A 14960-nucleotide genomic window follows, 5' to 3' on the forward strand; every position below is an offset into this window, starting at 1 on the left:
AGGCATTATCAACAGGGACTAATGAAAAGAGGTAGAACAGGGAGCAGCCAAAGAAGAAAAGATGGATGAAAGGAAAAGAAAACAGAGGTGACTTGTAGAGTGGAAAGTCCTCTCCTCTCATGTTACTTGTTTCTTTCTTTTACCCCGTGATCATTGTACCTTGGCCTTGATCATAAGACCCTTCAGATCCCTTTGGAAAGTAGGTGGGATTATAACTATCAACATACATGAATGGATGGATGGACGGATGGAAAGATGGATGGATAGATAAATGGATGGATCAATGGATGATGGAAGGATGGACACATAAATAAAGGAAAGATTGAAGAAATATTTAATTTTATTTTAGGTTTAGGAGTACATGTTCAGGTTTGTTAAATGGGTAAAAACATGATTTGGGGGTTTGGTGTACATACTGATTATTTTGCCACTTGGATACTAAAGATAGTACCTGACAGTTTTATTTCTTTTCTGAACTTCTCCCTCCTCCCACCCTTCTCCCTCAAGTAGGCCCCAGTGCCTGTTGTTCCCTTTTTTTCTGTTCATATGTTCTCATCATTTAGCTCCCACTTATAAGTGAGAACAAGCAGTATTTGATTTTATGTTCCTGCATTAGTTTGCCATGGATAATGGCCTCACTCCATCCATGTTCCTGCAAAGGAAATGATCTCATTGCTTTTTATTGCTGCATAGTATTCCATGGTGCACATTTCCCACATTTTCTTTATCCACTTTCTCATTGATGGACATTCAGGTTGATTCCATGTCTTTGCTATTGTGAATAGTGCTGCAACGAACATATGTGCGTGTGTGTCTTCATGGTAGAACAATTTATATTCCTTTGGGTGTATACCCAGTAGTGGGATGGTTGGGTCAAAGAGTACTTCTGTTTTTAGTTCTTTGAGGAATCACCATACTGCTTTCCCTAATAGTTGAACTAATTTACACTTCCATCAGCAATGTATAAACTTTCCCCTTTCTCTACAACCTTGCCAGAATCTCTATTTTTTGACTTCATAGTAATAGCCGTTCTGACTGGTGTGAGATGGTATCTTATTGTGGTTTTGATTTGCATTTCTCTAATAATCAATGGTGTTGAGCTTTTTTCATATGCTTCTTGGTCACATGTATGTCTTCTTTAGAAAAGTGTCTGTTCATGTACTTTGCCCACATTTGAACAGGGTTGTTTTTTGCTTGCACATTTGTTTCAGTTCCTTGAAGATTCTTGATATTAGACCTTTGTCAGATGTATATTTTCTCCCATTCTCTAGGTTGCCTTCTTACTCTGTTGATAGTTTCTTTTGCTGTGCAGAAGCTCTTTACTTTAATAAGGTCCTATTTCTCACGTTTTACTTTTGCTGCAATTGCTTTTGGCATCTTCTTCATGAAATCTTTGCCAATTCCTGTGTCCAAAATGGTATTTCCTAGGTTATCTCCAAAGGTTTTTACAATTCGAGGTTTTATATTTAGGAATTTAATCCACTTTGAGTTGATTTTTGTATATGCTGTAAAGAACGGGTCCAGTTTCAGTCTTCGGCATACAGCTAGCCAGTTATCCCAGCACCATTTATTGAATAGGGTGTCCTTTTCCATTGCTTGTTTTTGTCAGCTTTATTAAAGATCAGATGGTTGCAGGTCTGTGACTTTATTTCTGGGTTAGCTATTCTGTAACATTGGTCTAGTGTTTGTTTTGTACCTGTAGTATGCGGTTTTGTTTACTGTATCCGTGTAATATAATTCGAAGGCAGGTAATGTGATGCCTTCAGCTTTGATGTCTAAAAGCGTGGTGGAAGGGTGCGGGGGAGCAGGGTGACTCCCCATTCCCAGTCTTGCACAGGTCCCTGTGGGGAGCATGAACCTCCCTGGGGGCTCTCATTCACTCACCCTTTCCATGTTTGGGAGTTTCTCCTGGCTATTTTAACAATATTGATTCTTCCTATTCAAGAACATGAAATGTTTTTCCATTCAGTAATGAATTCCCTCAGCATTTGCTTGTCTGAAAAGGATCTTATTTCTCCTTCGCTTATGAAGCTTAGTTTGGCCGGATATAAAATCCTTTTTTTTTTTTTTTTTTTTGAGACGGAGTCTCACTCTATCACCCAGGCTGGAGTGCAGTGGCACGATCTTGGCTCACTACAACCTCTGCCTCCTGGGTTCAAGCAATTCTCCCTGCCGCAGCCTCCCAAGTAGCTGAGATTACAGGTACCCATCACCACACCTGGCTAATTTGTGTACTTTTAGTAGAGAAGGGGTTTCACCATGTTGGCCAGCCTAGTCTCGAACTCCTTACCTCAGGTGATCCACCTGCCTTGGCCTCCCAAAGTGCTGGGATTACAGGTGTGAGCCACTGCGCCCAGCCAATATTTTTTAAGATGCTGATACCTAACAGGTTGGTGGCCAGCTTTGTTCCTCTCTGTCCTCTGTTTCTGACTGCTGCCTTGATGGATCCCGACATGATTTCTCTGTTGATTGGCCTGCACGGCAGTGGTCTCTAGCCCTTTGCTTTCTTCTCCATGAGAGCCGTGCACATGAACTGCTTCTAGTTCATCATCTCGGCCCTGTCTCCCAAACATTTTTAGTAAAAAAAAAAAAAAAAAAAAAAAAAAACGCAATTAAAGATGGTTTTAGGATCCAGAGATTTCCAAGCTAACTCTGCAGTTAAATTCAATATAATGTGATAGGTAAATTGGCAGCAGCTTTACATCTCTTTTTCTAGGCTCCTGGAAATTCAAGCATGGTGGGGCTTTATTTTGCAGGGAAATGGGAAGAGCAATTAAAGAGGAAAATTATTGAATGAAATCAGTATGAGAAACTACTCTGACTTCAGGACAGTGTAGATCACCTCATGTAAAATTACAATTTTCATGGTGAAATATAAGATGAGAATTGCTCTTCAACCAGTGCTGACAGTGACTTTTTTCTACATAGCCTGGATGCAATTTTCTGGGGAATCAATGGAAAATTCATATTTTACTGGGTTCTTGGAAACTGAAAACAATCCATAGATAAGAATAAAATTAACACTAAACAATAATAATAGCAACAGCAAGAATAGTTACTAGTTACTATGTGCTAAGTATCTCACATAATAACTCATTTAATTTTTACCTAAATCTTGAGAACAAGGTACTTTCAATACTCCCATTTTATAGATCTAATTATCCTTATCTTGATGTAATGAAGTGAAGCTGACTTGTAGTATTATAATCATAATTATTATATAGATTTAAATGAAGTTTCTGAAGCATTTCAAAGTCTGAATAAATGAAAACCCTGCTCTACTGGAAAGTGAAACTACTACAATTTCATAAATGATCATTTGTAAATGAAAATGTATTTCAAGCATTTTAGATCTGAAAATTTTTGGTAATCTGGGGGCTAGTGTGTCTTTGTTGCCCTTTGGGTCACCTATCTCACCATATAAACTGAGACCAAAGACTGGGCTTGATTTCTCTGTTTCCAACTTTTATCTGCTTTAGTTCCTTCCAAGAAGCGACAGAAGTAGATCATTTCAACAAGGGAGATCAGGGTTCATAGCATTTATGGTCTGATTATTAGTTATGGGAATGTTCTTTCTGAATGCTCATGGTTCAAGTAGGACTGGGAAATTTAATCCAAAGGACAGCTAGATCTTGGAGAAACATTAAAACTTTGTTCACAAAATAAGTACTAGATCTAATCAGGCAAAAGAAAAGCAGTCAATTTGGTAAATATTCAGTTGAGTGGGCTGTGAGGTATCCTGAGGGATACACATTGAATGTTTCCATCATTTATGTGGTGACATAGAAGTGAGATTTACATTATGATAAAATGCAGTTATTTTCAATTTTGTTGTAAAGAATTCCAGTTGTATATTTGAAGTGACTAGCAAATAATAGACATTCCATGAAGGTCAAGTACGTAAATGAAATAAGCAGTGTGGCTAGTGACTATTTCTAAACCACTCCATGAGGGATTAGAGTAATTCTTGAATATGATTCTCAACAAAATTCAATTTCATATATATTAGGCTCCACAATGTACAATATTCCAACAGTTATAAAGGCAATATGTTGGTAGTCTGAGGAGAGAAGACAAAAAAAATCACTGTATTTCAAATGCTTATGATTTAGGTAGGAGAGGAGATAAAAATGAATCAATATATAAATGACTATACTCTGACATGGAATGTAATAAAAGCAACAAGAAGAACTGTGACAATATAGAGAAAGAAAAAATTACTTCTAAGATAATCAAAAAGATTCAATTGTAGGATGTAGCATTTGAACTGTTCTTTGAAGGAGAGAAATTGGACATCAGAAAAAAAGTGCATAGCTTTGAATGAAGTATTAAACAGATTGTCTCAATTGTGTTGAGTGCCTCCAGACCAAGGAGTATATCATCAAGACTTTGTCCAGTGCGAAGAGACCAAGAAATAAAGCTCCCCCCCCCCACTAATCTGTACATAATGGCCTCGGTGATTACATAGATCAATGACTAAAATAAAACAAGCCTTCAAAAAATAAACACACTGTACTATTCCCCTGGACAGTCATTTTCAAATAGTGATTCTCAGAGACCTCAGGACATTTCTAGGAGTTGGGTAAGAATTGAGGACATGGCTTGAGGAAATTTTATGTTTGATTACTAGAAAGTTTTGATCAATTACATTTTTAGGTTAACTATAAAGCACCTGTTGATTACAATCTTATTGACAAAGATTTCTAAAATTAAAATTTAGAGTCCTAAGTAACTTCAGATAATTAGATCCCAACCTCTCATACTACAGATGATGTTTGAAGCATGAGAAATTGGCCAGTAATCACACAGCTAGGTAGTGAGAGATCTGGCACTGATTCATAGTTCCTTGATCTTTCCACCATAACATTATGCTTCTAATGTTTGAATCAATTTTCTAGTATAGTTTAAGCTACATAATCTAATTTCTTTACTTTATATTGAATCTCAATCAGTAAACCTAGAGATAGAGATGCAGCTGATAAAGGAGATTGTCCTTAATTTGGCTTGACTAATATTTTGTTGACAAAATAGTTACCAGACTTCAGATTAGACCTGATCTGACCTCAAGATCTACTCTGGGAATTACTGTTTTCACTACATCTCTGATAGATTTTCTTTCTTGGTATCATCTTTTTTCTCTTCAATTAAGTAAGATATAGATAACAAATATTTCACTTGAAGTTCTGAAACTGTCCAATTAATCAAGCCATAAAATACATACATATGTATTAAAATACATGTGTGTGTGTGTATATATATATATATATATATATATATATATATAGTGAAGTAGTGTTCAGCCATAAAAATATAACAAGATCCTGTCATTTGCAACAACATTGATGGAACTGGAGGTTAATACGTTAAGTGAAGTAAGCCAGGCACGGAAAGACAAACTTTGCATATTCTCACTTATTTGTGGGAGTTAAAATTAAAATGAGTGAATACATGGAGATAGAGAGTAGAAGGTGGCTCAGAAGGGTAGTGGGGGGTGAGGTGAGGAGGTGATGTGGGGAGGGTTAACAGGTACAAAAATAGAAAGAATGAATAAAACCTAGTATGTGCTAGCACAACAGGGATACTATAGTCAAAAATAATTTAGTTGTACATTTAAATATAGCTAAAAGAATGTAATTGGATTGTATTCTTTGTGGATAACACAAAGCGTGAATGCTTGAGGTGATAGATACCCCATTTACCCTGATGTGATTATTGTTTTGTATATCTGTATCAAAATATCTCATGTAATACATAAATATACTTACCATGTACCCACAAAAATTAAAAACCTAGTTAGATCCACAAATATTATAAATTATTAAATATGATTTAGAATTTTATATTGTTTTAAGTGTAAACTCAATGATTTAGAGCCCTGCTCTGAAATCAAGCTGAGTGCATGTTACCTTTCCTGTTTTCTCCCTTATGAGTGGCATTTGTTTTAATAGGACACTATTAAAAATATAAATGAATGGTCTCTCTTTGTTGAATGTATTTTTGGTCATATGAACATTTTACTTGAGAAAGGACAATTTTTGGTTCTTATAAGCCGTTTTCACAAGGTTTGTGTAGCCAGAAAATTTTAAAAATGAGTTTGTTTTTCAATTTAAGAGGGAGCACACTCTGTTTTAAATGCCTTATTGTGGTAGGATTGCTATTTAATTTCATCATTGTTATTAGTGGCTAAATCCCCTGAAGGCAAAATATGACAGATATAAAAACATGCCAAGTATTCAATTAAAATTTTTCTGCTGGTGTTAATATGTTTATCTATCTTGTCATTTTAAAAAGGATCATATTTTATTTTCTCAGCATATTCCTTGTAACTTTTTATTCTAGCCCCCCATTACCCATTGATTCTTGCCATTTAATTGTGGAGGTACTGGCTTTTATTTGTGAAAGGCTTTATCAAAATACAGATTAAAATATCATGTTTTCACAATTGAACTAAACAGAGAAATGTACAGCAAAGTACTATCTTCCTAGAGGGTATGAGACCAACCATTGTGCATTTTGCTCTTCACAAAAAAACCAACCAGCATTGTCAGAGAGCACATACTTCATGACCTAAGGAAATTTCCAAATTTATTGACACATCCTGAAATAAGCGGGACACTGACCTAAAAATACTGGAAGGCTGTATTTAGTTGAGATGTTTGAATGTGTGTGAAAAAGAGTTTTCCTGCTGGGAGTTCTTACATCTTCTATTTTGCTTAAGTTGATATTTTTGGGTGATTCGACAAGAGCAGAGACAGGAGAGTATGAAAATAGAGTCAGTATCATTAAGCTTTAAAGGAAAAAAGCAAATATAGGAGTTAGAATATTCTTATGCAAGAACCGAATTTTCTCTTTGAAGGCAGACCTATAGTTTCTTTGATTTGAGGTTTGTTTAATAGTTTCCATAATGGCTGCACCATGACTCTGCATCAAGATTTCAGCATGAATAACAACGTGTTCATGTTTCATTTAGCTCCAAATGAGAAATTCTGTTTTTTATTGTTTTAGGAAATTAGTCTGTGTACTATTTCTCATGGAGCTTTATAATCAATCACTAAAGGTTATGGCTGTAGAGAGTTTGTGGGAAATAGATGCTTGAATGATTATAATTGTAGCTGTCAAATTAGAAATATAGTTATACAGTAGCAGAATCTATTTTTAAACTATAACAAAGACTTCCAGGGTTGCCCATTTACTTGTAGAAATAAATGGAGTATTTTTAACTGCATTGCTTATTTCAGGAAGAACTATGCTCAGTGATGTTCTCTGGAAAACCCACGATTATAACCACGTAAATCTTTATCCTCCGAGTCCCTGCTTTTTCTGACTTTTGTGTCAGTTTTGCTTCCATGGAGCAGATGTTGAGTACTTTACCTTTTGGAAAATATAGCTTATAGTGGAGAGAATCAAAGTGTATATGGTTGATTAACTGGCAAAGTTGAATTAGAAAATCCCAAGATTGCCTTCTTTCTTTATGTTATCCAAACATCTCATTAGATGTGGAGAAAGATGTTTCTAGGGAATCAAGCGAGGCATGCTGTTTTTATTAGCTCCTGGTACCAAGAACTGTTTTGAGAGGGTTTTTTTTTCTGATAGAATTTTCAACTTTCACTACTCTACCCATCTTTCTTCTGTGCTTATGACTGCTTAAAAAGTAAGCCAGAAGGAACTATTGTTTTTTCAGTACCCTTCTATAACTCATTCCAGGAGTAAGCAACTCTCACTACTGGGGAATTGTTTATTATGTCTATTCCTAATACCTCATCTAGTGAATTACATTTCTTGTTTTGTCAGTAATATTAAGGTCAGTTTGTATGAAGCCACCTCAGAGTTTGGTCTAATGTTATCTCTTCCTCACAATTAATAATTTGAAATGATGTGATCTATCCTTATAGATCTTATTAGCCAACACGTAATCATTCTGATCTTCCTAGTCCTCCACCTTCCTCCTGTCCCCAACTATGCTATTATCAAATCATAGGGCAGAACTTCACTTTTGAGAAGATCTAATCAGTGTTGAATATGTTGTCTTGGTTCCTACATGTTATTCTCATTTAATGTTTCTGGTTTTTTGTACATTAATGCTAAATATCTAGCTCTGCTACAGTTTTGTGTGGTTCAAAACAAGTGATTTCAAACAAGCATCCTCTCTTTGTGCCTTGGTTACAATGAACGAATCTGAGATAATCACATTGCCTTTGAATTCTAATCTTCATTATTATAATTCTTGAGCATCATTAGTCTAGTCCCATCTTCTGTTTGTATTGTTTTTACTTAATGGGTACTCTCCTGAATCTGTTGCTCTCATAGTCCATACTATTTATTCCTTACAGAATCTTTCACTTAGTGATGTCACTTCAGGTTCTGAACCCTTCCTTAGAAATTTGAGGTTAGTGTCATGGGATCAAAATGTGCCTCTGTCCATGTTCAGTACACTGACAGAAATGTTTTTCCTGCTTTTGGGATTTGGAAAATACTTTTTTTGTATTATTGCCTCAACTTAACATTTATTCATGGGTGATCACTCTTCGTGCCCCTGCTGGGAACTCTCTTCAGGTGTGTGATCTGACTGGATTTTCACAATATATTGATGAGCCAATTGTTTAGAATGGTCTCAAAAACCTTAGTAAAGTCAAAATAAATTATATCTATTGCTTCCCCTCTATCTCCCAGGCTGTCATTCTGTCACAGGAGATTAGATTCGCCTGACAAGACTCAATCTTTAGGAAGCCATGCAGGGTGTTATCCAGCATACTGTTCCCTTCAAGGTATTTGCAAATTCATTTGCAGTATCTTCCAAGACACACGTGTTATCCTTGCAGGTTAAGTACAAACAGGTAAAAAATAACAGAATGGGAAAATATAGGCAATGGTTCTTAAACTGGGCCAAAAAATAATAGAATTTTATTTTATTTTCTACAACCTTTGAGGATACTATTGTCATATCTATGTTAGTTGAGAGATTGTGTTCATAAACGGAGTTTACAATAAGTAATTATTGGTATACACTATCATTTAAGAAGTATTCCTTCATGAATTAACTGGAACATGACAAAATATTCAATAGTAATTTGCTTAATACAATGCCAGATTTCAAAGTTAATTTACAGCATATATTGATTTTGAGTATCTACCTCTTTAGAGTATATATGTATCTAAAAATCAAAATAATAGTAATTCTGCACTGTCATGGTATACATATATACTCTTATTATTTTGTTTCTGTTTACTTTTTTAAAGGCAGTTTAATAAGCATATAGTTTCACATAGAGTTGAGCTCATTAAATATCTCCAACATTTAATGGATTCTACTTTACACTGGACATATTAGTGTAAGGGACTCAGAAATAATCACCATTATTTTTTCTAAATCCTAATTTTCTATGATCCTATACTCAGATATTAACATCACAGTCATGGATATGATCAGTATATACAGTGAACCTAGTTCATGCATTGAACTCAAGTAATAAATACTTGTGCCCTTATGGAAAGGTTTGGACGTTCTGTAGTGTCCAAAGTGAAAATTTTATGAGTTTTATTGAGGTAAAATTCACATACCATAAAATTCACTCTTTTGAAGTGTACAGTTCAGTGGTTTTAGTATATTTACAGAATTATACAACTACTATCATTATGTAATTCTAGTCCTAATAACTTATTATCAAATTCCAGAAATATTTTATCACTCCATGAAGAAATCCTGTACCCATTAGGATGCCCATTTCTCTGCATCCGCAAAGAACCTGGAAACCACTAATCTACTATTACATTGTACTCTCTGTATGGATTTACCTATTCTGGATATTTCATGTAAATGGAATCATACAATACGTGACCTCTTGTGTCTGACTTATTTTACTTGGAATAATGTTTTTAAGGTTCATCCATATTGTAGCATGTATCAGAACTTCATTTATTTTAATGCCTGAATGAGATTCCGTTTATGAAAATACTACATTTTGTTTATCCATTTATCTGTTCATGGCCATTTGGGTTGCTTCCACTTTCTGGCTACTATAAATGATGTTGCTATAAACATCTGTGCGCAAGATTTGTGTAGACATATGGTTTCATTTCTCTGGGATATATACCAAGGAGTAGAATTGCTGGGTAAAATGATAACTCTGTTGTTAACACTTTGAAGAAATGTCAAACATTTTACATTTCCAAAGTGAATTTTGTACATTACATATTCACAGATTGGTTTCAAAAAATAGATTTTCATACACCATGCATTTCCTGGATACTCTGCACTCTATGGTCTTTCTTATGCAAATTTCTTGATATTCCAACATTGTAGTTCCCCTTTTTAGAGGCAAGCTGATCCTGCCAAGTAGCAGAAACTTTAATGCCCTCTATAATAAAAACAAAGATTGTGACTTTAAAGAAAGTTTAAGAAGTGAAATATGATTGTTTGGTTGATATGTACAGAGAGGAATTGACCTCTGACTTTTCTAAAGTTTATAGTATAAACAATATAGAGCAAGAAAATAAATTATGCCACATAGGGGTCATCATAGTAGTATTGTCATCAAAACCAATGCTTTCATAGACACAGCTCTACTAGAATTAGCCTAGTATTCTAACCCTTGGCTTCTGGTCACATATGGGGTAAGACAGTTCAGATTAAGGGGGAGGAAATGTAGGCAGAGTAAAGTAAGAAGGTATCACTAGTTGGGACAAAGGCATGTCTATTTTACTTCAAAAGGTGGGAGGTGGCTCACGCCTGTAATCCCAGCACTTTGGGAGGCCGAGGCGGGCAGATCACGAGATCAGGAGATCGAGATCATCCTGGCTAACACGGTGAAACCCTGACACTACTAATACTAAAAATACAAAAAATTAGCCGGGCGTGGTGGCACACTCCTGTAGTCCCAGCTAGTCGGGAGGCAGGAGAATAGCTTGAACCAGGCAGGCGGAGGTTGCAGTGAGCCGAGATCACGCCGCTGCACTCCAGCCTGGGTGACAGAGCGAGACTCCGTCTCAAAAAAAAAAAAAGGTGGGAGATGGGGGTTATGTAAGTTCTTTCTACTGAAATAACATGAACAGTAGTACAAGGAGAGAAGAAAAAGCAAATTCTGGGGAAGTTGCCACTGGGTGAACTGTCTTAAGGTACAGTCTCATAGGTTTTGGCAAGTCCTTAAGGGAGTTATATCTTCCTAGATTTTTTTCTCTTCTCTTCTGGCTTACTATGGAGAATTATGCCTAAATCTTAAACCTTACAACAGTTAAATAAGACCCCTTTCAAAGGGATTAACACACTGAATATTATATACATACAGATTTATATTTATGCGCTATACACATATATAGTCTTTATCTGTATATAAATATGTGATGATAATGATAAAAGGATAATGATTACACGTAGGATAAACATTTATCAAAAATTGTACTATAAATAATAAAACAATAAAATATAAAGTGAAATAAAAAATAGAACACAATTATGGACAGTGAAAATTAGTAGCTTTTTAATAATAAGACAAGAATATAGTTGGAGAAACTTTCAAGAAACCGCTATTAAGACCATTGACTCTCGGAGTAAAAAAATATAGAAACAATGTAGGCACTCACTGTAGGAAATATTCATTTCTCTGCTGTATGAGAGTTTTGGTTTTTAACTTACTGAGGGAAGTTGATGGGCACAGATTCTAAAGAGTATGTTTCCTTTCAGAATTAGATATAATTAATGAAGTAACATAAGACACTTTCTCAGAGCTAACCTTATCTTTAAGTAAGATAATTTTATGGACTCTGAGAAATTGTCATGTTTCTGCCATTGCCATCTCTTAGGATGTGTTTAATGCAAAGCATAAAGTTAATTGTAAAGCTACCCAGGGTATTATATTTTTGACACTTATCAGTTGTTTACATGTTAGTGTGAATCAAAGTTTGAGAGCTAATGCTGATGAGAGGAGGGAATTCCCTGGATAGAGATTTTAAACAACAGGAGAGAAAAAAGAACTAAAAGTTAGGATCCCAGACACAAACTCTGCCTGTTTCAAAGTTTACCTCATTCTTTTCTGAACCTGCAATATTTCCTAATGAACGGTATTTCTAAATCTTATTTAAGATGCCTAACTTCTCTTTCTTGGCAAAAAAAAAGAAGTTGTTCCTTCACAAGGATCATTCTCCATGTGGAATTTGACACCATGTCCGCTTAACCTAATGCGTTATCAGACCAGGTCTCTTTTTTTTCTACATGAATTAAATTGTCAAGTCTCTCTAGCTGCATCATAAATGGTTGGTTACAAGTGCCTCCTCTAGGTGATCATCATAAGATCCTAATGTTTATCTTAAATGGCTTGCAGAAATTTGCAAAGAAACCTCTATAAACCATTAGGACTGATTTGCATCTAAATCATTTTTAACCAGGAGGCAAAAGTTATTTTCTGCAGATGGTCAGGGTTTATATTTTATAGGCAGCAGTGTCTATGAAAAATACAAAACTCATTATAGAAATAGAGCACAAATGCTATTCCCTTCTTACTTTCTGGCTTTTAGACTTGTTTCTACTACTGGGAGAAACATCAATGGAACATCAATGCATTGTACTGGAGACAGTACCTGTTCCCATAAAACACTGAGCAAAGAACAAAGCATTTGTTTTCCTAGTGTAGATGCTGAAGTTAACATGCATTATTTAATAAATATATTTTTGCTTTCTCAAGAGATATATCAAGCAGTAGTAAATATTTCAGTGTTATTTCTTTAGGAAGTTCAAATGTTTTGAGTGTAGAACTTCTTTTGGGAGGGTAAAGGTGGTGTTGGTCGGGAGGAGGGAGGGAGTTGGAGGAATCAAAGGAATGAGGAAAAGCATCATGCTGTAAAGTTTGATTGTTGTTCTACCTCTTTTTCCAACTATACCTGCCATGGAGTTTTCTTATAAATGCAAACATCCTTCATAATACGTTTAAAAACAACAAATACATCACTTGCATGAATATTTAAGGAACCATCAGGAGGGGAAAAACTCATTGGTTTAATGGAATGCTGTCAAGGCAAATCAACATCATGAAAGACACTGGGGCAGAATTGATACCTTTGCACTGACATGTTAAAAGAAAAGCCCATGCATTATTTAGAAAACCCAGAAATCTGTCAGCTGCATGATTGCCGAGTTAGCAGATGCAGGAGGATTCTGCTTGAGTTGAAAAGAAATGCGTAGGCACAGATCCATATTGTAACCTTTCATGTTCTACACCCACCATGAATTCTCAGCTATTATGCAGTCAGCATTTTTGAGTTTTTCTTTTTTAAATTTTCAAGTGCTTCGAAAGGCAAAAGGGGTACATCTTTTAGTCTAAAAAAGCAAAATGCCTAGGCTGTTATTTTAGTGTTAGAGTAAAGATGACAAGACCAAAGATTGTTTTTCATGTTTCTGAGTGTTGTGCAAGGTTCCCCGGAGTGTTTTGAAGTTGTTACAGTAGGTATTATTTTTACACATTTATCCCATGAACAAAGTGTTTTCTTAACCATTTTGCCTTCAATAAACATAAGGAAACACTTTATTTTACTGATTTAAGCACATCAGCATGCCATTTATAAACATGGAAAGTTTTATAGTCTACTAATACAAAAATGAATTTATAGATACTATACATGTAAGCATTTAAAATAATTTTATTGAATACACAAGGGCAGCATTCTCTAGCAACATCTTGTCAAAATATAGTTATTGACATCCTTATGCCTTTGAATTACCCCTATGAGGCAAGTAAGAAGCCAGTATTCTGACTATTATCATAGAAGAGACAAAGAGAGGCACAAAAGAATCAAGTGTGTCTCTTAAGGTTACATATTTTGACAATAAGAGAAAATTAGTGGTAATAGAGCCAAGATTTTGTGTTTTCAGTCTAGTGAGCCTAATGTGTTTTCTACTCTACTGCTGCATCTCACCATTTCTCTGTAAGCCTCTCTGCATTTATAAGTGTTTAATTGTTGCTAAGCCAGAAAATACTTAATGAAAATCTTCTATTCCATATTAGCTGCTAATTTATAGCCAACGAAGGAAAAATCACAACCAGCCAATCACGATTAATGGCATAGAATTAGAAAGTAATATTTTTTTGTATCATCTATATTTTGGAAAAGTCTGTCCAGATAGATTTCAGGAAGTTAATTGCTGATGAGGGTTCAATTTAAAATTATATATTACTTTGTTAAAAAAAAAAACCTACAAATCTTTTGATGGGATTTCCACTGGAAATAATGAATAGCAAAAATTTATAAAACATATGTTATTCCCTGATTTCTGGGTCGCTAGCATTTCTATGGAAACAGATGTGCATACTTCGACATATAGATGGTTAAACTTTCTTTTCATAAGTTCTTGTGGATTTTGTATTGCATACAGGACTTCTTTGGGAGGAACATTAATTTACACTTTTTTATTTTCAGAAAACTCATCATCATCACTATTATATGCTATTTCTACTGGCAAAATAACAATAAGTGAAAAATTCAGGAAGCTAAATTAATATTTTGAGTCAACTTGTAGAATGGTCTGAGGTCTGGATTGTCATTTTGCCTGGTTCCTTTGCTTCTGGATGATATTTTCTAACTGTATCCTCTCTTTTTCATCTCCACCAACCTCTGTTTACTCCTCTTCTCTACTACGTCTACCAGATATATTAAGTTAATAAAGGCATTCATATACTTCAGCAATGTTTTTGGAGTGGGATGTGTGTGTGTGTGTGTGTGAGAGAGAGAGAGAGAGAGAATAAGCACATGCATGCTGAAGTGCTGAAGCACCTGCATCAACATTACTATCACTACAGTCATAGTCCAGGAAAGATGTCTCTGCTCTCAAGCAAGAAACAAGAACTACCATGATGGTTTGGGAATGAGGAAAAATAAGAGGGTGAAATAAGAGAGTGTATTTGACATTAAGTTGGGAAATTGCAGAGGAAGCAACCTAACATTAGGTGTTAAAAGACCTGGATTCTAGAACCACC

The 14960-nt window shown here is 35.1% G+C and overlaps 1 protein-coding gene across 8 annotated transcripts in view; it reads left to right on the forward strand.

Annotated features, from left to right (window-relative positions):
* DACH2 (dachshund family transcription factor 2) overlaps window positions 1-14960 on the forward strand; it is a 684152-nt gene that overhangs the window by 503157 nt on the left and 166035 nt on the right. The gene's annotated exons all lie outside the window — the stretch shown is intronic.

The sequence above is a fragment of the Homo sapiens genome, chromosome X (genome assembly GCF_000001405.40).
Source record: "Homo sapiens chromosome X, GRCh38.p14 Primary Assembly".
In the NCBI taxonomy this organism is placed as follows: domain Eukaryota; kingdom Metazoa; phylum Chordata; class Mammalia; order Primates; family Hominidae; genus Homo; species Homo sapiens.